Source organism: Homo sapiens, chromosome 5, assembly GCF_000001405.40.
Source record: "Homo sapiens chromosome 5, GRCh38.p14 Primary Assembly".
NCBI lineage: Eukaryota > Metazoa > Chordata > Mammalia > Primates > Hominidae > Homo > Homo sapiens.
In genome coordinates, this window is record NC_000005.10 from 71641350 (window position 1) to 71666051 (window position 24702).

A 24702-nucleotide genomic window follows, 5' to 3' on the forward strand; every position below is an offset into this window, starting at 1 on the left:
GTAAAATTAGTAGAAAATACTTGTAGTTCTTTTTGTTTTTCTGGATAACAATAATTATTTTGAAAGTTTCAGCACTGTTTCCTTTGTTCTTTACTGTCCAATTCAACGAGGAAGTTTTATATTGTGTTTAGCTTCCCAGAAGGATATAGAGTGAGTTAAACCTTCTCACAGCCTCTGTGTAGGTCTTAAGCTGATTCATGCAGACACTAGATTGAGAATTCAGTATATCACGTCAGGAAAAACAAAATAAGGATGTTTATAAAAGTTAATTTTTTAAATCTAAACTGTTTAGTTTATAGGCCTTTGAAGAAGAGTTTTTGAGATAGATGCTAGACCCATAATAATCTATTTGGGACAAATGGAAGAACAAATTTTGTGAATTTTACTTGTTCATAAAAAACTTGAAAATATAGTAGTTAGTCAAAGGTAATACCAGAGTAGGAAAAAAACTAGCTGCAGAAATCCAAATTGCAAATATACATTGAGGCTTAAGGATAAATCACAGTACTTTGTCCTAGTTTGATTTGTGAACAAAAGAAGGGTTCACACTGGGAGTAGAATTTATGTTTTTGTACTTAGGTGTTTAAGTGATTAAAAGCTTTTTGTTTGATATATAGACAGGATTTGTCACCAAATTGTTCAGAATGTAACAGTCATTGTGTAGCAGTTTAAAACAAGTCAAAGCCATTTCTGCTTTCTGTAAAGATGGATGGGCTGTCTTTGTCATCTGCTTTTATGGATTTGCCTCCTACTTGCTAAAAGCCCTGTGGCACTCTTATCCCCTAGAGTACACAACCTGGTTTCTTCCATCTCTTGACTGTACTGGAGTTCAAATACATTTAGGGACAGAGAAGGGGAGTGAGAAGGAGAAGAAGGGAATGAGAGGCTGGTGGTGGGAGTTGGGGGTGGGGGTGGCGGATAAGAAGGATGGGAGGAATGAGAAGGTGGGAGGCATAAAGGGTGAGGAGGTGAGAGGGAAGGACAGATTTTTCTGGTTCTCAAATGTCTCTGGAAGTTCCTCAGGGTTTCCTCCTGCCTCAGCACTTACCATGTGTAGCCTCTAGTCGTTTCTTGGACACTGTGCTTTCCCGTTTGTAACTCAGGTTTGATCAGGCAGTTGGTGAAGACCGTCCCTCTATGGGTGTCCCTAGTAGTGTGGGGACATGTTCCCTACTCAGCGCATCCTGTCTGTGCCTGGAGATCCCTAAGTGGGGCCTAGTGTGGGTTGAATCTAAGTAGTTAACAGGGTTGCGCATTTGCAGGGGCAGCATCTTTCCAGTGAGTGATGTGTTAAATTCCCATGTCTTTGTGCAGTGAAGCAGGACTAAGAATGGATTTCTGGACTTTTTGGAAGTTTACCCCTTTCTGAATTGCTTCTGTAAGTGGCAGTGCCATTTAGGATGTACTGCATAAGTTTTTGGCTGGGATTTTAGGACTGAAATACATGTAGGTGGCCATCAAATCAGGGTTTCATTGTATCACATTAAATAAACATGATAAGTTAGCCAGGTGTAGTGACTACTGGGGCCTATAGTCCCAGCTGCTTGGGAGGCCAAGGTGGGAGGATCACTTGAGCCCGGGAGGTTGAGGCTGCAGTGAGCCATGATCTCGCCATTGCATTCCAGCCTGGGCGACAGAAAAAGACCCTGTCTCATAAATAGATAAATAAGAACATGATGATTTTTAAAAAGTCATAAACCCAGACAAAGCCAGAGTAAAGAAGAAAAAAAAAACAAATCTTTAAAGATTCAGGCTGGGCGTGGTGGCTCATGCCTATAATCCCAGTACTTTGGGAGGCCAAGGTGGGAGGATCACTTGAGCCCAGGAGTTCCAGACCAGCCTGGCAACATAGCGAAACCCCATCTCTACAAAAAATACAAAAACTAGCTGGGTGTGGGGGTGAGTGTCTGTAGTCTCAGCTACTCAGGAGGCTGAGGTAAGAGGGAGGATCACTTGAAGCCTGAGAATTTGAGGCTGCAGTGAGCCATGACTGTGCTACTGTGTTCCAGCCTAGGCAACAGAGTGAGACCTTGTCTCAAAAAAAAATTCAGTTTTCTGGCTTATCAGTATGTTGATACTCTCTCTTATCTGTTAATTTTTCTTCAATAATTATTTTGATATTAAAAATGATATTTTTATAGTATCCCTAGTGTCTGGTACATACTAGACACTCAGATATATTAAATGAATAAATGGATAATACACTAAGCCAATTATTTAATCAAATCAATCAAGACAAATGGATAACTCTACATGTATCGTGACCCTTTCTAGAAGCAAAAGAAACCAGAGTCTAGGACCTTAGGAACAAGAAGATTGTGACATGAGCTGTTTTATACCATAGACAAAATCTCTTTGCATTTTAAACTTGGATCTGATATTAAAGAATGTGTAAATATGCCTCTTTCTTGTGAATTGAAGCCCTTGGAAAAGCACAAGACATAAATCTTCTTTGAACTTTCTTTTGAGGATTTGCTCGAATATTTGGGTACCCAGTAGGTATCGTTGGAAACAACGGAGTTCTCTTTTCTGAATCTGCAAAAAAGGCAAGTACTGTTAAAAATATTTCAAGATTTTCTGTTTTAATTTAACATAACGTTGAAGGTCAAATAATGAGTTAAAATTTATTGCATAAAAATGCTTAACTAGATGCCTCAGCAACCAGAACACTGTGTGCGCGGGCATGTGTGTGTGTGTGTGTGTGTGTGTGTGTGTGTGTGTGCGCGCGTGTGTATATATGTGCATGTATGTTAGTATTTGAAACAGTTTTTATGGTGGTTTACATTAACATGCTGTGACGAACCATCTGGAGCACTATTAAAAATGTACTCATTTTAGGAAAATTCTCCTAAGATACTTGAGTTATAATTGCTATAGAGGACATGTACATATTCTCAGTTGATAGAGAATACTTGTCCTGAAAGTGCTTCATGTCCTGGAGGGACTCAGAGGTCTCATGGTTCAAAGATTCAGGTGGTTCTGAGACATGATCTGTTTATTCTCTTCTATCCCATTATCGCTTTAACTTTATTGTATTTTTACTTTTTGGAAATGAGAATAGTGGGTCTTTGTTACTGGACCCGTGACTTTAAAAAAGGAAGTTCTTTTTATTTATTATTATTATTATTTAATTCAATCCTCCAAGACATCAGAAAAAAGAGGGAGTTCTTGAATATCTTTTGGCTTAGTTATTATTTGATTTCATATATCATCTCAGATTTACCTAAACTTGGATAAATGTAATTCATATACTTATTTGATAAAAATGTCTTTTAAAAAAATTTTAATTCACCAAACTACTTCAGGAAATAAAATGTTTCCTTAAGAAAAAATATGTTTAGTATTGCTTTTTCTCTTGAAATAACAGGGTAAAAGTTCTCTTTATTGATGCAGGTAATAGGCAGTTAAGCTCTTTCATACCCTAATTGAGGAAGAATTTGTCTTTGGTGAAATTTTTTATCAATAAAATTGGTTTCTGTATTCTGCTACTTATTATTACTCCTTCAACTTGATTATAAAATGAGAACAAGAAATTAAAAGTAACAAAAATAAAAAATCACTTATAATTATACCAGAAATAGCTTTTAGTAACATTTTATTATTTTTTCTTAATAGTTTCCTTTTTTTAAAAAATTGATATGCTATATATAGAGAGGTTTTGCATGTTTTCATTTAATAGTATATAGACAGTATTTCTCAAAATATTAGATATTCCTGAAATAATGACTTTTAATGAATATATAATATACTTATTTCAATAGAGGAAATGTCAGAGTGAGTCCAAACAAACTCTGCCTGGCTTTATTTGTCAGCTTGGTACAAATAAACCCCAGAGGAGTTATGTTTGGCCTCAGCCTGACGTTTCATTTGTTGAAATAAGCCCCAAAGGTCTATGTGATTTTCTCATTCTTGTAAACGTAGTCATATTGAAGTCGAGCAATTACTTTGCAATTTTGTACCTGACAAGGCATTTCCAGCAGAAGTAAAGAGAAATTCAGATAGACTAAAACATAAAGGAAATGGTTTATAAGAGTTTCCTAACTCATACAATCTTTAGGGAAGAAATAGTTGTATTTTTGTATCATTAAATAATTTCCTAAACTCAAGGTTAGAAGATTTCTATCACTCATCTAATCTAAAATCCCATTTATCTGGGGAATGTTGGCAAGGATGATATATTTACTATAATCCTGATGCATTAAAGAATTTCAGATGATCATCAAAATGGAAATGTCATCTTCATATCCCAGGAGGGTTTATATTCTGGCTTTTCTAAAGTGGAGAGCTAGAGAATTATCATATAGCAGAGTTCAGCAATTCTCATTCGCATCAGTTCTTTCTTTTCTGTTACTTAAGTTTCACTTGCTGTTTACAGTGTTAGTGATTGACCTCATCCTTGACGCAACAATAGTCTTAGAGCCATGTGCCAGTGATTATACAGGTGATTGTGCAAAACTAGTGTAGTACAAACCTACAGTTACATATCCTATTGATAATGGAGTAGCACTGTACTATTACTGTTACTCTTTCTATAAGGTAAGACTAGCCAAACAAAGGGTATTCTTAGCCAGGAGTGGTAGCACACACCTGTAGTTCCAGCTACTCAGGAGGCTGAGACAGGAGGATTGCTTGAGCCCAGGAGTTTGAGGCTGCAGTGAGCTATAATTGTGCCACTGTACTCCAGCCTGGGCAACAGAGTGAGACCATGTTTCTTTAAAAAAAAAAAATTAATAAGAAGAGAAAAAATTTTAAAGGGGAGTATTCTTTCTTGTCTTTGGCTGAAGTTGTGGTGTTTGTAGAATGCATGATGATAATAGAGTTAATTCCCTTTTAAAAAGATTTTTATGTTATTTGCTTATAGGGTACTCACTTTGTCCAGTTATGCTGCCAAAGAAATATTCCTCTGCTGTTCCTTCAAAACATTACTGGTAAGAAAATAGCTTAATCAGTTTGGTTGTATTGATTCCAGAGCTGTACCATCAGTGTGGCTCATGTATTGGACAGCACACATGTAGACCACTTCATCAGAGCAGGAAGTTCTACTGGACATGCTCTTTCTGGAGGCCCTTTAAGAGTTAGCACTTTTCTTCATGCATGTTAAATATTCTGAGGAGATTATCCATATTTTCTTTCCCCCAAGTAGCTGGGCCTACAGGCATGTGCCACCATGCCTGGTTAATTTTTGTATTTTTGTAAGACGTAGTTTCACCCAGACCATGTTGCCCAGACTGGCCTCAAACTCCTGAGCTCAAGCAATCTGCCCGCCTTGTTCTCCCAAAGTGCTGATACTACAGACATGAGCCACGAGCCACCACACCTTGCTGATTATCCATATTTTCTAAGTGAAGCTATTTCTGAGTTATGTACCTGATCAGCATTCACATGGCCACCCTTTACTCCTGTGTGTGCACAGCCACACACCCAGAAAGCAGCAGGAGCATGATCTGATCACTGCAGAGAGCATCATGCTTTTCCTAGGACCCTTTTCCTCCTCAAGATTTCAGGCACGTGCTACGGTCTTCCCTTTTATTGTACAGTTAATTCAACTTAAGTAACATCATTTTAAAATGTATGTGTATACCCTGAACCAAAGTCTGGGGATTTGAGTTTTGGCCCCAAAGAATGGTATGACCAAAGTGAGATATGTCACCTCTCTGGACTTTACTCCAGAGATGACCTTAACATGGTGGATAAATTGATTTTTAAGGTCTGTTACGGTTGAAGAGTGAATTCTCTGATTCTCTGGTATCCTTCATTATATGTTGCAGAGTGTCTGAGATATACAGGGCACTCAGATATGTTGGTTAGCAGAAAACAGCCTCCCCCATCCCAGGCTACCTCAGCTTCAAAGGAAGGAGAGGCTCTTAGTACTTGTTGGGATCATGCAAGCCTCTTTGAGAAGGAAGAGTCAGGCTCTTGGCAGTCAACAGGGCTTGAAATAGTACTGGTGCTAAAGCATCTTCATCCTGTGAGCTACTTAGGTTCATGATATTTGGTTAGATGAATGTTGAGAGAAGTTATATCCAAATGGCAGCCTAAGAGGGTCCTGCATGGTAACTTATGTAAAAGGGCAGATAGAAAGGATTCTGAAGCCTAACTATACCAGAGTTCTTGTTTTTAATAATGATTCCTGGATTGTTAACCACCAGGCAGTTAAAACTCTGTGGTTTGAAGATATCTACATTTTTGTTTTGTTTTGTTTTGGCCCTGTTGGGTTGAGTTTAGTTTTTCAGCATTGCATTTGAGGTTCCTGTGGGATATTCACCTGGAGGCATATAGTGGGCAGGTGAATAAGTCTCAGCACAGGAGAGGTGTTTTAGGTAGAGATGCAAATGTAGACATCATCAGAATATGGAGGTAATTTTAAAGCTGTGGGAATAGATAAGAACCCCCCTGAGAGAAGAGAAGAAGGTTCAGTGACAGTCTTCGAGTACCTCTGATTTTTTCCTTTTTCTTCAAGAGTAAAGGAAGATGGGGAGCATGATTATGCAGTTTTCTTAAGATTGGAAGAAGAAGGATTTGAGAAAGCGAAGTGAGATGCCTCACTCTTCTTTTTGAAGGCAGGATCCCCTCCAGAGAATAGAGGGATGGTGGGTCGGGTTGGGTGGGGTGAGAACTTGAAGACAGCTGATATTTGAAGTAGGTATGGTGGGAATGTTACAATGGAGTCAAGGCTGGGGAGATTGAGGAGTTTCTGAGCTTTTCTGAGGGTCCAGCTGAGTAGGATAGCTGCAGGAAGCAGATGGTGCCAAGTAAAGGGCTGTGCTGCCATTCCTGTGGTGACTGCAGAAGGCACACGTGCTCTGGAGGAACTGGTTGGGTTGAATTGGATGACCAGATACTGGAGTTTGGCAAACCAGGGATAGTGGCAGTCAATGAGGCAGGTGAGTCTGCAGGCCCACAGATGGAAGAAATGCCTTTGCTGGAGACTTGCGGGGTAAGGAGACAAGCGAAGCCCAACTCAGTGTTATAAGGCAGAGAAAGAGGAACCCAAGTTCTGGAAGGCAGTGAAGTTGCAGAGCAGCCTCCACAGAGCTAGGGGCTTGAAGAAATAGAAGGATCCTCTATTGAAATGGAAAAATAGTTTTTTTTTAACCTTGCTATTGAGTCACTGGCAGGGACTGTTAGCATCTCTATGAAACATTCATCTTTATGTCTTCAAAGTTTCAAAGCATCACTTTAGAAAGAACAGTCTGTTTTAAAACCAGGTCAGTGAAAGCTAAAGCCCTCATAGTTAGGCTCATCACAGCACTTTGTCCTTAACTAGCCATGTCACATTCTTTTCAGCATCAAGCTGCTTCTTTGACATCATCTCCTTTTTAAAATTTTTATTTATTTATTTTTAAATAGAGGTAGGGTCTCGCTTTGTTGCCCAGGCTGGTCTCAAACACCTGGCCTCAACTGATCCTCCCGCTTAGGCTTCCCAAATTGTTGGTATTATGGGGGTGAGTCACTGCACCCAGCCAAGATCATCTCTTGAAGATAGATTGCATCCTCATATTGTTTGAAGGTTTCTGTGTGCATCCAGATGAACTGCTTTAAGAAAATTTAGAAAGTGATTAGAGAAAATTTTATTTTATCCTTTTAAAGCAAACTTTTTAACGGTATGTTTCACATATAAACATTTTCTTAAGGCGAGAGGCATTTAGTAAGATGAGTTTAGTAAAACAAGATGTCCTTTTGGTGGAATTGCGTTCCGCATATTAATCCCATCACCCAGAGGCTCTCTTTCTGATCTTTCTCTCAGGATTTATGGTTGGTAGAGAGTATGAAGCTGAAGGAATTGCCAAGGATGGTGCCAAGATGGTGGCCGCTGTGGCCTGTGCCCAAGTGCCTAAGATAACCCTCATCATTGGGGGCTCCTATGGAGCCGGAAACTATGGGATGTGTGGCAGAGCATATAGGTAGGTGTCATGATTTTCTCTGAAACAAAGAAACATGCTTCAAGTATAAAATACATGGTCAGTTTATTTCAGGTGTATTTGAAATATAGAATGCCATTCCCAGATCTCAATCAATTATACCGTAATTTGTATCATTTGGAGGGGTGAAATGAAATTTAATGCCAAAGGTGTTATTTGGAAGAAATCTACAATGGGAGTCAAGAAATACTTGAAATGGCTGATAATGAAAATGCCACACATTAAGATTTGTGCAGTGCAGCTAAAGTCTGGCTCTGAGAAAGGTATGTAGCCTTAAAGGCATATACGGGAAAAGAAGCAAGACTGCAAGTCAGTGAGCTAAGCCTTCATCTGTGGGAAGTTCAAAGAACAGCACGTTAAACCCGTGACAAATAGAAAGGACATAATGAAGAGCAGACATCAGATAGAAGAATCAGTATAGCCCAAAGTTGTTTGGTTTGAAAGTTCAACAAACTTGATAATCTTATGCTTAAACTAAAAAATAAAGAGAGACAGCACATATAACCACTATCAGGAATGGAAAAAAGGACATGACTGTAGATCATGAGAGGATATTATGAACGCTTTTATACCCAGAATTACATGGAGAACTTAGAAGTCCCATCTGTGCTCAGGACCCTCCTCTGGAGTCTAGTCTGGGGTGTGTTCCAGGCATTTGTATATTTGTGAAAGCTCTACAGATGATTGTAATGTGCAGCCAGAATCAGGAACCACTAATTTAAAAGGCAAACATGGGCCTCTGAAAATCTATGTTGTATATTGACTTAATTTGTTTATTCTTCCTTTTCTTCCCCCAGCCCAAGATTTCTCTACATTTGGCCAAATGCTCGTATCTCAGTGATGGGAGGAGAGCAGGCAGCCAATGTGTTGGCCACGATAACAAAGGACCAAAGAGCCCGGGAAGGAAAGCAGGTCGGTGTCGTTTTCTCTTGTTTCTCTCTGGTTTTGCCTCTCACCATAAACACCCTGGAGCCAAGGAGCAGCGTGCCTGGAAGCCCTTGGTGTTCATGGCTGGGGACCTGGCGCACACTGCCTGGCCATATTTAGACTGTGCTGCCCTGGAAGTTGTTCCAGCAAATCACATGATTTCTGTCCTTTATCTTTTTAAAGCCATTTCATTTGGGGTACTTTCTTTGTGGCCATTTAAAATTGTTTCAGAATTTCCAAGAAAACACTTTTTTATTTTATTTTTATTTATTTTTAAAATTTTTGAGACAGAGTCTCGCTCTGTCACCCAGGCTGGAGTGGAGTGCCGCAATCTCGGTTCACTGCAGCCTCCACCTCCTGGGTTCAAGCAATTCTCATGCCTCAGCTTCCTGAGAAGCTGGGATTACAGGTGTGTGCCACCACGCCAGGCTAATTTTTGTATTTTTATTTATTTATTTATTTATTTTTGAGACAGAGTCTCGCTTTGTCGCCCAGGCTGGTGTGCAGTGGCACGATCTCGGCTCACTGCAAGCTCCGCCTCCCAGGTTCACGCCATTCTTCTGCCTCAGCCTCCCGAGTAGCTGGGACTACAGGTGCCCATTACCATGCCTGGCTAATTTTTTTGTATTTTTAGTAGAGATGGGGTTTCACTGTGTTAGCCAGGATGGTCTCGATCTCCTGCCCTTGTGATCCACTCGCCTTGGCCTCCCAAAGTGCTGGGATTATAGGCTTGAGCCACCGCGCCCGGCCTAATTTTTGTATTTTTAGTAGAGACAGGGTTTCACTATGTTGGCCAGGCTGCTCTCAAACTCCTGACCTCAAGTGATCTGCCCACCTCCCAAAGTGCTGGGATTACAGGTGTGTGCCACCATGCCCAGCCAAGAAAACACTTTAGAAACTGACAGTAAGTATCTGAGGCATAAAGATGTTTGATTCTTAGTCATTTGTACTTAGTGAGATTTAAATAAGTCTGATGTACTACTTTGATTTTATGACCAAAAGCAGCAGAATTTTGTTCTTTCTATTTTACTTTTAGATTGTTGTTAAGGATACCCTGAGTGGGAGGGCTCCGTCATCTATTGAGAATTGAATAACATTATCCTGTGTATAAATGAAGAAAAATGGAAAGGGCAGTGGAAACTTGATGAAAGGCAGATCAGCAAGCGGCTGCTTTTAAAATGAATTCTTTTGTTTGTGTCTCTGTTGGAGATTGTTTGAAATTTTGCATTAATTTTTATTAGTTACAACTTTTAACTCCTGTGTAAGCACCAAGTATGAAGATGATGGTTGTGTGTTCCTGAAGTTGCTTAGGTACACTGTTGTCTCATTATGGGAAGGGATGGAATGGAGGGAGCCCTGTCTGCTCTGTGCAGGAATCATCAGGTCTTCCACCTAGATTGTGGAGTGAGGTACTGCCTCCCTGAATGCATCCATCCATGCCTCACATCCCTAGTTGTCTTTTCCAAGCACTCGGAACTCTGGAGACTTACATTGAGGTTTCAGATTCACTTTAGTACCTACTAGTATCAAAGGAAACAGATAGCTTTGCTTTTGTGCGAGTGGTTGGGGTGTGGGTGTGTGGGTGGGGGAGGTGAGATATGAAATTCTACCTGATACTTCAAAGACATGTCTGAAACTCTATGAAGCCTAGCATGGTGATCTCTTATTAAGTAGTTGTTCTTTGATTACTTCAATATACAGATACTTGAATTCATTCATTTTTATACAGGAAAGGAAAGCACAGTGTGTTAATGGTTCTCCCTCAGAATTCGTGACCTAGAAAATGATATTAAGGTATTAGCATATTTACGTAAAAGAAGGTAGAGTTTATTTGAAATAAGTCTTTGTTTCTGCTGTCGAGTTGCTTTTTGAGTTGAAAGTATTTTTCAGGGTTTCAAATTAAGTTCTGAAGATTTTTACATCTGAATTAATTATCACTTGATCCTTGTAATACTGATGGGAAGGCTGTGAAATTCTTAATTAGGGGAAAATATCTCTCAGTTCTCTGGGAACTTGACTGAAAAGGTTATTCAAGATTTGGTTGGTATTTTACCCCTTTAAGCTTAAACATTTAAGCTTAAGTTTTAAATTTTGGCTATTTTAAATGAGAATCTCATACTTTTCCACATTCTTAACTGGAGGTTGCTAAGTGTAATGCAGCCCTTTTGTTGGGTTGTATAATTCACATCTATTATTGTACCTTGCTGTGATACACAGTACCCTGGGCTTTCACCTTACGTGAAATAGCCTCAGGATATTGTCTCTGTTAGGAGAGATGGGATGGGGCACTAACTTGATACTCATGTCTTAGCGTGTATGTTAATGATCACTTGTAATTTATACATCACTATGCACATGTTAGATGTAACATTATTATTCATGACATCTGTTGTTTCTTTTGAATTGAGATGATCTAAACAGGGCCAGTTGTTCACTGAAGCTGACTTACTCATGGCCTCTTTTCCTTTAGTTCTCCAGTGCTGATGAAGCGGCTTTAAAAGAGCCCATCATTAAGAAGTTTGAAGAGGAAGGAAACCCTTACTATTCCAGCGCAAGGTGGGGGCCAGAACATCACTAACTCTCTGATGGGTGCAGATGGCAGTCAGAGGAACAGCTTTACAGAGCTCTGTGTAGTTGAGATGGTCCAGCATTCATAGGAACTGGAAAATAACATTTGGACACACTTAATTTTGTACTGTTGTTTCTTTACAATCTGAATGGCTACTGCTGAAATGCCACCCCTCCTCCCAGCATCCCTGCACTGTGGACTCACCACCAGTGGTCTGATTCTCGCTTCCCTTGTCTTCCCCCTAGTTGAGGTGTCTGGGGCCTGGAGGGGTCCTGCAGCCCAAGGTGGGCCATGTTAGGAGCCGAGAATAAGTTATAAGCTTGGCTGTGTTACTTCAGAAGTTCTAATTTTTGCTTAAAAACCCCTCTCCTTGATCATTTTGTTTTTACCCCATTTTAAACATGAGATTGGTTGAACACTTACTGGCATTTGTTGACAAGTATGCTTGTACGTTTGAAAGGTGATTAGTCACTGCCAGGGTCTGTGTGTCGGCGCCAAATAATTACCTCACAGACCATTGCCGCTGTTGGCTCGGTTTTTTTCTTACACCACTTAATGAGGTAATAAATTATCATGCCTGTCCCAGCTGAAGACCTGCTGGTGCCTGCTTTCACATCTTTCTTCAACAACTTTAGTGTTCTGCATTCCGAAGACTAATCTAAGCTTCATGTCTTCCTTTCATCCCTTGGGCAGATGGAAAAAAGAAAGTAACTCTTTCTGCATCTTGTAAAATTAGCTTATGTTGTAATTTATGCTGGCGAAGGCAAACTGGAGAGGAGAGGGGAGAGAAAAGAAAATCAGGCCAGGCACAGTGGCTCACACTTATAATCCCAGCATTTTGAGAGGCCAGGGCGGGCAGATTGCTTGAGCCCAGGAGTTCGAAACTAGCGGGGCAACATGGTGAGACCCAGTCTCTACAAAAAATATACAAAAATTAGCCAGGCGTGATGGTGTGCACCTGTAGTCCCAGCTACTCAGAAGGCTGAGGCAAGCAGATCAGTTGAACCTGGGAGGTCAAGGCTGCAGTGAGCCGAGATCATGCCACTGTGCTCCAACCTGGGTGACAGAACAAGGCCCTATCTCAAAAAAAAAAAAAAAAAGCAAAAGTTAGAGTCCATTACAATCATTTGAATGGTTCCTTGGTGGATACAAAGACAAAACATACTGATTTTCAAGAACATAATTAGTTTGAGGAGATAAATAATACCATTTGGGTGTGTGTATGTGTTTTTGTTTTTGTTTTCTTTAAAGACAGAGTCTCACTCTGTTGCCCAGTTTGGAGTGCAGTGACGTGATCTCAGCTCACTGCAATCTCTGCCTCCCGGACTCAAGCAATCCTCTTGCGTCGGCCTCCAAAGCTGGGACTACAGACATGTGCCACCACACCTGGCTAATTTTTTTGTATTTTTTGTAGAGATGGGGTTTCACCATGTTGGCCAGGCTGGTCTTGAATGCCTGAGCTCAAGTGATCCTGCCTCGGCCTCCCAAAGTGCTTGGATTACAGGCGTGAGCCACCTGTAATCGTGGCTGGCCAATATTTGGGAATTTTTAAAGGTTTTTTGCTGAATATATATTTTTACAAACAAATTTACAGGTATATTTTATTGTGGTGGTTTGATTCATTTAATTAAGAACAAAATATTTTATAGTCTTTGAGAGCTAAACATGTTCCTGATTTTATCATCGTGTAAACAGACATATAGTAGCCAGTAAATGGAAAGAAGCAATAGAAAGCCGTATAAGAGGTTTGAGATGAAATATAAAATATATATTGTTAAGCTTTTCTATAGTTTTTTTTTTCCACATAAGATTTTGACTGAAATACACAGGGACAGCTGAAATATTAAAGTTTGAAAAATTGTGTATTTTGTGTGAGCTGTTAGCTTGTTTTTCAGCCCTGGCTAAGATAAATCATCTCTTGAGAAAGATTGCATCTTTTATTATTTTCATACTAACATTATTATTATTTTTTAATGGATTACATTCAAGGCAGAAGAGTAAATGGCCCAGAGAGACTTATCTTTGGAAATAAATGTTAACAGACAGTAAAGTTTTCTGTGGATCTGTAGATTTTTTTTTTTTTTTTTTGAGACAGAGTTTCTTGTTGCCCAGGCTGGAGTGCAATGGCATGATCTCGGCTCACTGCAACTTCCGCCTCCTGGGTTCAAGGGATTCTCCTGCCTCAGCCTCCCGAGTAGCTGGGATTACAGGCGTGTGCCACCACGCCTGGCTAATTTTGTATTTTTAATAGAGATGGGGTTTCTCCATGTTGGTCAGGCTTGTCTCGAACTCCCAACCTCAGGTGATCCACCCGCCTCGGCTTCCCAAAGTACTGGGATTACAGGCATGAGCCACTGCACCTGGCCAGATCTGTAGATGTTTAACCCTTCTGTTGAAACAGCTGGTGGCATGGAGACAGCAGCTTTCTTTCAAAGCTGAAAGGATTTCCAAGCCAGTTTATGGTACCTTCCTTGGGTTTAGTAAATCTCAGCTTCACAGTAAAATTCCCTGGCCTGCTTAGGTTTGAACATGGCTAGATCTGTCTTTTCAGAGACAGAGCTTGTTATTATCAGTTACTGAAACCTACAATGTTTTCCTTAATCCTAATAGGTTACATATGTAGCGTGCCAATTTGCTTCTGCTCAGTTGTTTTTATAATCAAACTTTTATCCGGCATTTCATTAGTGCCTCTTACCTGGGGCAGTCTTTTTAATGAACATTATTAAGCAGCCCCTTCATCACCATGCTTGCTGTGCTGCAGGCTTCAGAGGGAGTGTAATCAATTCACCTGGTTGCAGATGACAAGAGTGGCTTTCTTTTTATTGGGTGTTGATACTTTAGGGTCCCTATTATGAATGTTTTATGAGCAAAGGTTTGATTCATGTCTGTCAATGTAAGAATGGTTTAATAGTTGATGCCAGGTTCAGATACCGAAGGGAGTTTATATAAAAAAAGCAAACTGCCACCTACTAATAACCTTTAAAAAGTAATATTTCTCAGTCATTTTTCGTTATACATTTGAGGTTGTCAATGAGAAGGAAACTAAAATTTCTACTTAAAAGTTTCTTCTGCAAGCAGTTTAAAGTTATTGTTTTTCCTATTGTAGCAAAAAATAAAGACCTACATTTGAAGGTATCTATTTTATTAATAAAATGTACTGAAGCTGGCCGGGTGTGGTGGCTCACGCCTGTAATCGCAGCACTTTGGGAGGCTGAGGTGGGCGGATCACCTGAGGTCAGGAGTTCAAAACTGGCCTGGCCAACATGGCGAAACCCCGTCTCTTCTACAAATACAAAAATTAGCCAAGTGTGGTAGCGCACTCCTGTAATACCAGCTGCTAGGGAGGCTGAGGCAGGAGAATTGCTTGAACCCAGAGGGCGGAGATTGCAGTGAACTGAGATCGTGCCACTGCACTGCACTCCAGCCTGGGTGACAGAGCGAGACTCCATCTCAAAAATAATAATAATAATAAATAAGATAAAATGTACTGAAGCCTATTCAATAATTTTCATAGTTTCTTAAGAGTTTGGATGGGGGTTGGGGAATATACATTTTCCAGTAAAGTTTGAGGTTATTACCTGGGTATATGTGGTTCTGCATATTAATGACAGAATACACCAACTTGGCTTATATATTTGTGTGGGAAGAAAAGGAATAGGAAAATTTTTCCTGAAATAAGTAAACGTATTGTCAAATTAGGGGTTACTTTGAGATCTCTTATAAAAGTAGTTCCTTAAGCCTTAAGCCTGACATGACATTCTGTGGTGGCCTGGGATGAAGGTCATATCATTTTTTTCCACGTTTTCCCCCTCTGTCTTGAACGTAGTTTCTGTTGTGAGATTATGGTACATGGATGCTAATCAGTAGATCCATATATTACCTGAAGGAAAACTTCCTTGGCATTTCTGCACATGGAGAGTGTATAAATGGTAGTTTGGTGGTAAATTCATAACTCTTTTTTTGTTCTTTTGTCAGGGTATGGGATGATGGGATCATTGATCCAGCAGACACCAGACTGGTCTTGGGTCTCAGTTTTAGTGCAGCCCTCAACGCACCAATAGAGAAGACTGACTTCGGTATCTTCAGGATGTAACTGGAATAAAGGATGTTTTCTGTTGGACATGTACTGAAAATTAACACATGTAGTAGCCTTAAAATTTTAGACTTCTCGAACATGAGGCTGTTACAGTAATTTTTTTAACACTGTGCATTGTACTTTTCTACCTTAAAAAAATCAGTGAGGATATTTATTTAATGAACATCAATTCCTTTTAAATTTTCTTAGAGAAATTTCTCTGTGGCTCAGTTTTACCACCCATAAAGCGGAGACAGTAATTTACGGTTATCCTTTCTGACCCACAAAGTATGAAAAGTTCTGTAATCTGTAAACTCAGTTCTGTAATCTGTATTATTGAGATGATTAATATAAAGTTGTATTTTCACTGAAATGATTGTTTTGCTGGTTATGCTTGGTGATATTTTAGCGGGCTTATTTTTGAAAGGCATCTGTTACTTCAGTGGCATAAAGTGCCCTCACACTGCTGTGCAGCCATCACCACCATTCATCTCCAGAATTTGTTCTCAGTCCCAAACTGAAACTATACCATTCAAACAACAGCGCTCCCCATTTCCCCCTCCCCCGAGCCCATGACATCTCCTTATTATTATTTTTTTTTTGAGACAGGGTGTTTCTCTGTTGCCCAGGCTGGAGTGCGGTGGTGTGATCTCGGCTCACTGCAGCTTCCACCTCCCGGGTTCAAGCGATTCTTGTGCCTCAGCCTCCCAAGCAGCTGGGACTATAGGCACGCACCACCACACCCAGCTAAGTTCTGTATTTTTAGCAGAGACGGGATTTCACTAGGTTGCCCAGGCTGGTCTCAAACTACTGACCTCAAGTGATCCACCCGCCTCGGCCTCCCAAAGTGCTGGGATTACAGGTGTGAGCCACCGCGCCTGACCACATCTCCTTATTCTTAAATGTATGTGTTTCTCATGGTTTGATTTATTCTTGCTGGGCCATTTCAGCCCCTGTCATGGCTTCACTCGCCATCTAAATGCAGATGATTACTGCCTTGACGGTTCTTAACCCAGCTCTCCCCTGAGCTGCAGGCCTGCATATCCAGTAGGTCTACTGGACATCTGTACTGGTTGTTGTGGAGGAACCTCTGGCTTGCTCATTAAGTCCTACTGATTTTCACTATCCCCTGAATTTCCCCACTTATTTTTGTCTTTCACTATCGCAGGCCTTAGAAGAGGTCTACCTGCCTCCAGTCTTACCTAGTCCAGTCTACCCCCTGGAGTTAGAATGGCCATCCTGAAGTGAAAAGTAATGTCAGATTACTCCCTTCAGTGATTTCTTGTAGAAGTGCCAATCCCTGAATGCCACCAAGATCTTAATCTTCACATCTTTAATCTTATCTCTTTGACTCCTCTTTACACCGGAGAACGGCTCCAGCTGTTCTAGCTCTCTTTCAGTTCTTTGAACCTTCCCACCTTAGGGTCTATAAGGTTCCCTCTGCCCAAATTGTTCTACTCTCCCTTCTTCTTCAACACATCCTTCAGTTTAAGCACTTGCTTCTCTCAGTTTAAACTCCACTTCCTTAGGGATGTCTCTGTGACCTCCCTGTGCTGGATTAGCTTCCCTACTCTATGCTCTTGTAAAACACTATCTACTTCCTTTGTCATAAACTCATCATTTTCCTATAAACATTAATATTGTCCTCCTGCTAGAATGTAAGCTCCGTGAGAGCAAGGATCCTCCTGTTTACCCTGTACCTCCAATGTCTGGCACTTGTAGGTGCTCAAATATTCGTTGAATGAATGAAAAATCCATATTGTAATTGATGTCCTCTGGCCACATAGTTTTAAAATTAGGTGATTGATTATATGACCGAATAGAACTATCAAATGTTTTCCTAATAAAGTCAATATTTCAAACATTTGTGTGTGATATTTAGTATTTTAAACATTTGTGTGTGATGTTCAATGTGTACCAGGAAGTCAATTTAGTTTTTGTGGGGAGAATATAGATAGATGATCAAATTCAGTGGTAGGTTACATTTTCAGAAGCAATACATTAAGTATATTAAAATAGTAATATTAAAATTTTAATGAAAATGCACATCTATGTCAAAATGATTTTCTATATAAAGACTAGGTAATATTCCTTTGGTAGGAACCATTAACAAGTCAAGGATTCATGGATATTTTAGGACTGCTTTTGCTTTTCTGGGAAGAAACTGTCCATCAATAAAACCACATTTAAGTGAATTGGATTTTTTAAAACTTATTTTTCTAGAGGCAGGGTCTTGCTATGTTGCCCAGGCTGGACTCGAACTCCTAGGCTCAAGCAATCCTCCTGCTTCAGCCTCCCAAGTAGCTGGGACTACAAGCTTGCACCACTACGCCTTGCTCTATTTTGTATATTTTACCCAACAATAAACATTTATAATTGTCTTACCAAAATAGGTAATACTTTTTAAACATTTTGACTATCATAAATATGAATTCCAGCAAGGATAATATGAGCTACTTGGAATTTGAAGAAATATACAAGTTAGTCTCTAAATTTGCCCCTGTTGGTACTTAAAGAATGAAAAAGACAAGATTACTTCTATTTTTCAGTTTATAAGAAAAGTATTTTCAAATCGAATTTGTTAAAAAAAAAAAAACACTTCTGCACCAGCAGAAGGCACTATTGAGTGTTTGAGTGACACCATCATTTGCCAACATGCTTATGTGTATGTCTCTCCAGAGAGAGGCCATATGTTTCCTTCACAGGGATAAATCAAAGCAGGTTTTGGAATGATACATTAATAAGATTATTTTTGAGAGGCCACATTAGTTCTAAAATGCATTGAGTTTGGTTTTATGGAAGATTAAATCTCCACTAAGAGTCTTGGCGATTTTTTTTTTCTTAGTGATCTTCTAATGATTGGTTCTGAAGTTTCATATATGGAAAAATGGCAAGAAGATGAACTAGGTTATCATAGCCTAGTGTCATTCATAACATTTCCCTTAAAATGTTACAATTAAGTACAATTAATATTTAATGATGACATAGATTTTAATCATTTTCGACAAAACGTTTTGTGCCTTTCCACTAAACGCTTAAAAATAGTTTGTTTCAGCGGGGCACCCTGGCTTAACACCTGTAATCCCAGCACTTTAGGAGGGTGAGGCAGGAGGATTGCTTGAGCCCAGTGGTTGGAGAACAGCCTGGGCAACATAGCAAGACCCTGTCTCTACTTAATAAATAAATAAATAGGTAAATAAATAAATAGTGCTTTTATTTTATGTGCTTCAAATTCTCTTGTATCTGGAATCAGGATCCTGAGGACTAAGTTTTTCTTAGGGATGAATGAAATTTCTATGCCCCTTTTACCTTTCTAGGCAAATGTACATTCCATCAAGTTGACTGTGTAACTTACCATCCACATTGGGGCTTTTGAGAGTGAGAAAAAGGGGGTCTTAATAATAACTACACTGGGAAACAGGTCTGAACTGGGACCGACTCATCCCAGTTTGAACTGGGATGTGTGCTCGCTGCCTGTAACATCATCATGACTGAATACTTTGTTTGCATATCAGCTTTTGAAAATTCTTAGAAGCCTTCGCTCAAGATACCTGCTTCATGACTTTCAATATAGATTTCAGTATGATACCAGTCACATAATATGTGTGCATTAGCATTCTAGGGAGTCATTTAATTGACCCTAGAGGAGAGTTTACCATAGGGCAGGGATGATTTTGTTTCCCAGCTGTTAGTTTTCTGAGATCAGTGGTTCAATATGTCTGGCAGCTTTGTCTTTCACAAACCAAGTCACATGTTTGTGCTACTTTTTAGGGTAAGCAAGAGAAGTATTTTTCAGGGAGAATAAGGTCTTAGAAGGTGATGATTTCACAGAGAAGTTATCGCAAGGAAAATATACCCAGAACCAGATGTTAGAAGTAAGCTGGAGTAGAAAAAAAAATTTTTTTTTTTTGAGTCAGGGTCTCGCTCCAGTGCCCAGGCTGGAGTGCAGTGGCGTGATCTTGGCTCACTACAGCCTCTACCCCTTGGGCTCAAGTGATCCTCTCACCTCAGCCTCCTGAGTAGCTGGGACTCGGGCACATGCCATCACGTCCGGCTAATTTTTGTATTTTGTAATTTTTGTGTTAGCAGAGATGTGTTTTCGCCGTGTTGCCCAGGCTGGCTTCAAACTCCTGGACTCAAGTGACCCGTCTGCCTTGGCCTCCAAAAGTGCTGGAATTATAGGCATGAACCATTGTGCTCAACCAAGAAAAACAATTTTTTTAAGTGTAATTCAGTAAGTGTTGATTGTAAGAAGTGAACTCAGAAGAAAAACAGGTAGAATTTTAGAATACTCAGACTAATTTTAAACGTTCCTGTAGAAAATGTATTCAACATTTTTCAGCCACAGCACTGTTAATGACATTCCTTTATCTACCGGATAATTAGAAATAATTTTTGTCTTAAAGTTATTTGTAATCTAAAAATCTAACAATGTTACTTGCGGAAAATTTAGGAAGACAAAGTGAAGAAAATAAAGTGAAAAAAAAGCTTCATAATCTCACTACCTAGAGATAACTGCTATTAATATTTTTCGTGTACTAGTCTTTTTCTATCTTTACGAATTTTTTTTTTTTTGCAAAAATGCTGTGTGCTACATGTTATTCTGTAATCTGCATTTCACTTAATGTATTGTAAATATAATGACCTGTTTACATGAAATTTAATATTCTGCAAATTTTTTTCTTTTTTGAGATGGAATCTCACTCTGTTACCCAGGCTGGAGTGCAGTGGCATGATCTCGGCTCACTGCAACCTCCGCCTCCGGGGTTCAAGTGATTCTCCTGCCTCAGCTTCCTGAGTAGCTAGGACTACAGGCGCGCGTCACGACACCCAGCTAATTTTTGTATTTTTAGTAGAGACGGGGTTTCACCATGTTGGCCAGGCTGGTCTCGAACTCCTGACCTCAGGTGATCCACCCACTTTGGCCTCCCAAAGTGCTGGAATTACAGGTGTGAGTCACCGCACCCAGCCTAATATTCTGCAATAACTCTGATGTTGCACGATAATGCAGTGCATGAATCCTCCCTTTGATTTAACTACTCCCCTATTGTTGTACCTGTAGGTTTTTTCTGGTTTCCCACATTACAGATAATGCTGCAGTGAACATCTGTTTAGTTTCTTTACATATCTGTGATTATTAGGATACATTTTTAGCAATAGTGTTGTTGGATAAAAGTGTACAGGTTAAAGTATACACAGACCTTTAAGACTTGTTGGTAAGTTTTGCTCTATAAGTGTATATTATGGTATTTATTGCTGGATGTAATGGTTACCGTGGTGTTTTTAGATACAGAAATAGCTTCCCATAGAATTAAATTGTTTAGCAGAAACCAATGTTTTCTTTCATTGTTAAAAGTTGTGTCTAGGCTGGGGCATGGTGGTTCATGCCTGTAATCCCAGCACATTGGGAGGCCAAGGCAGGCAGATCGCGCGAGCCCAGGAGTTTGAGACCAACCTGGGCAACATGGTGAAACCCTGTCTCTACAAAAAAATAAAAATAAAAAATTAGCTAGGCATGCTAGTGTGTGCCTGTAGTCCCAGCTACTCAGAAGGCTGAGGTGGGAGGATCACTTGAGCCCGGGAGGCCAAGGCTGCAGTGAACTGTGATCGTGCCACTGCACCCCAGCCTGGGCAACAGAGCGAGACCCTGTCTCAAAAAAAAAAAAAAGCTGTGTCTAAGTGACCATGTCACATTAGCAACGAGTTGTGAAGACTGAGCATTAATGCATGGGAGGTCACGGTCGTGGAGAGAACACTGGGCGGGGTGTGGACCGGTTTCGCTCTAGTTCAGCTACTAACGCGCTGTATGAACCTGAGGAGGATGGGAGGGGATTAAAATCAGCCTTTCTGGCCCAGTGATTGTTTTCCTTCCCTCCTTCTACATGCCTAAGTCTTTTCTCCACCTCTCCAGATTCCCTCTTTCTCTGCTAGTGGATGGCTAGGGAAGGTGGGCCGAGGGGTGAGGACTGGAGGGAAGGGTAGATAGGGTATGCTGAGAGCCTTTTTTATTCCACAGGAAAGCATGTACCTCAGGGCTCGGTGGGACTCATGGTGGCAATCATTTACCAGGAAGACCCATTCTCCAGTTGGTCACAGCTTGTTTTGTTCAAATGAGCATACATTTACCGAGGGCTCACTATGTGTCGGGCTTCGGGATGGTACACAAAGATAAGAAGACGTGGCTCCTGGCCTGGTGCAGTATCTGGTCAGTGACTTGAGGGTTATCTTCAGCCTCTTGGTACCCCTCTGTCTTCTTTTGGTAACTGTACTTTCATTCTCTTTGGGAACTACCCCTCTCCTGTTCTGCACAGTCTTGGCCAGTGTGGCAAGCAAAGAGCCCTGGACACCAAGGGCTGGACACATGTTGAGGCTTGGCCAGGTGGACTCTCTCAAGTGCTTTGACTCATTAGCAGAGAGACAAAGATGGAAGACGAATGACACTGAGTTCAAGTAGACCTGAAGAAGCTGTTCGTTCACTCACCTCTGCTCCAGGGTCCCTGGCACAACCCTGATTACTGAGAATCTGTGAGTCAGAGGCATCTGTATCCTTCCAACAATCTTATTTATTGATTTATTTAGGAGAGTCATGTTTCAATGCTTGTAGCAACCAACCCTACCTGGCAACATGTTCTTCTGCAAGCCAGAGGTTACAGTAAGTCACTCTATGTTTTCAAACTTGGTGAAAGAACGATGGTATAGACAGAAGAGTAAACTGAGAATTTTGGTCCTCAAATACACAGAACATTCAAAGGAGGAGGGTTGTGGCTTCTCACCACCATCCCCAGTGAGGATGGATTGAATGTTTATTTTTTAAATGTAAATTAGTTAATGATTGATTGAGACAGGGGCTTGCTCTGTCATCCAGGCTGGAATGCAGTGACATGATCATAGCTCACTGCAGCCTTAAACTCCTGGGCTCCAGGGATCCTGCCATCCAGCCTCCTGAGTAGCTTACAGGCATGCGCCGCCATGTGGGGCTTCTGGATCAAGGGTTTAAATCGTCACAAGGGCAACTCAATTTATTGCAATGTTTTGATCACTGAAATATGTCACTGAGCAAGATGTTAGGTTACTTTTAATTGGAAATCTGGCTAAAAATCTGAAAGTCTACCACTGGGGATAGTTTAAAGACAATCATACCAGGAGACAGAATGTAGTGACTTCTTGGGTAGTCTTAAGTGGCTTTTGTATAGCCTTAAGGCCACAGTGATGGTCTTATGAATGATAAACGAATTGTTGCCCAGGCTGGTCTTGAACTCCTGAGGTCAAGTGATCCGCCAACCTCAGCCTCCCACAGTGCTAGAAGCGACTGCGTCCAGCCCAGAATGTGCATTGCTAACAAGTTTTCACCTGACACTGATGCTGCTGGTCTGGGGATCATGCTCTGAGAACCACCACTCTCAATGATCTCTAAATTCCTTCCTAGCTCCAAAATGTTAGGATCCTAAGATAAATTTCTGCTTTGTGATATTATCATTCTTGCATATTTGCTAGGTAATTGTACATTTCTCTCCCCCATTTTCAGGGAAGGGTGAGTTTGTATTAACTTCTCGGTAAGTAGGTGTTCTTTTAGATCAGTGATTCACAGCCCAGACTGCACATTAGAATCACTTGAGAAACTTTGAGTAAGAAAAATCCTGACCAGGTGCAGTGACTCACGCCTATAATCCCAGCACTTTGGGAGGCCGGATTGGGGGGCGCGGATCATGAGGTCAGGAGATTGAGACCATCCTGGCCAACATGGTGAAACCCCGTTTCTACTAAAAATATGAAAATCAGCTGGGTGTGGTGGCGCATGCCTGTAATCCCAGCTACTTGGGAGGCTGAGGCATGAGAATCGCTTGAACCCAGGAGGCGGAGGTTGCAGTGAGCTGAGATCATGTCACTGCACTCCAGCCTGGTGACAGAGCAAGAAATCTGCCTCAAAAAAAAAAAAAAAAGGAAGAAAAAGAAAAAATCCTGAGGCCCTGGCTGCATGCCAGGTGAACTAAACAGACCTGTTCAGGTTAGGACCCAGGTATCAGTAGTTTTTAAAACACTCTCAAGTGACTCTGATGTGCAGTCAAAGCTGAGAATCACTTCACAGAGGAAGGCTAGATCAGTAGATTTCAAAATGGGCACTGTTCATTTCAAGACACTTTCATGAATTTAAAATCTTAAATTTTACATTGTGTACAGTTTTTCCTGATAGAGCTCACAGCGCAGATAAAAGTTGGCCTTATTTTGGTTTCTTGACCTACCTCGTTTCAGGCAAACTGCTGGAAGTGGGTACCGATAGCTAAACATTTCTAAAGAGATCCCTGGTGATGGAAAGAAATGAGATCAGAGCAAAAACAAACAAGCAAAGACAAGGATTTTATATAATGGGCCATCACAGTAGCTGGCATTTTGCTTCCAAAGGATCATCTCCAGAGTCATTTCTGCTCTGGTGGCTTTGTTGTAACTTCTTAGTGGATTAAACAGAGGGTTTAGGTCTCTGAGGATTCTTGCCCATTCATTTCCAGCCGACCATGACTAGACTTTTAAAAAAGGGAGTATTAGGCCAGGTGCAGTGGCTCACACCTGTAATCCTAGCACTTTGGGAGGCCAAGGTGGATGTATGGCTTGAGCTCAGGAGTTCAAGACCAACCTGGCCAATGTGGTGAAGCCCCATCTTTACTAAAGATACAAAAATTAGCCAGGTGTGGTGGTGCTTGCCTGTAGTCCCAGCTACTTGGGAGGTTGGGGAGGGCAGATCACTTGAGCCTGGGAGAAAGAGGTTGCAGTGAGCTGAGATTATGCCACTGCACTCCAGCCTGGGTGACAGAGTGAGACCCCTGTCTGAAAAATAATAAAATAAAATAAAGTAAAATAAAATAAAATAAAATAAAATAAAATAAAATAAAATAAATAGGAAATATTCATCACCAACATGGATGACTGATAACTTGAGATTATTATCTTTTTTTTTGAGACGGAATCTTGATCTGTCACCCAGGCTGGAGTGCAGTGGCATGATCTTGGCTCACTGCAACCTCCACCTCCTGGGTTCATGCCATTCTCCTGCCTCAGCCTCCCGAGTAGCTGGGACTACAAGTGCCCGCCACCACGCCTGGCTATTTTTTTTGTATTTTTTAGTAGAGACGGGGTTTCACCGTGTTAGCCAGGATGGTCTTGATCTCCTGACCTCGTGATCCACCCGCCTCGGCCTCCCAAAGTGCTGGGATTAC

At 40.7% G+C, this 24702-nt stretch overlaps 1 protein-coding gene across 5 annotated transcripts in view; it reads left to right on the forward strand.

Moving 5' to 3' along the window:
* Positions 1-17357, forward strand: part of MCCC2 (methylcrotonyl-CoA carboxylase subunit 2) — a 71367-nt gene extending 54010 nt beyond the window's left edge. For 3 of the 5 annotated variants that reach the window (XM_017009688.2, XM_047417468.1, XM_047417469.1), the window contains one exon: positions 2422-2538. In XM_017009688.2, the coding sequence (XP_016865177.1) occupies positions 2422-2456 (35 nt within the window). In that variant the 3' untranslated portion in view covers positions 2457-2538. Of the gene's footprint in view, positions 1-2421; positions 2547-4861; positions 4929-7747; positions 7905-8719; positions 8835-11319; positions 11406-15393 lie in introns of those variants that run through there. The other 2 variants (NM_022132.5, NM_001363147.1) reach the window with 1 other exon arrangement.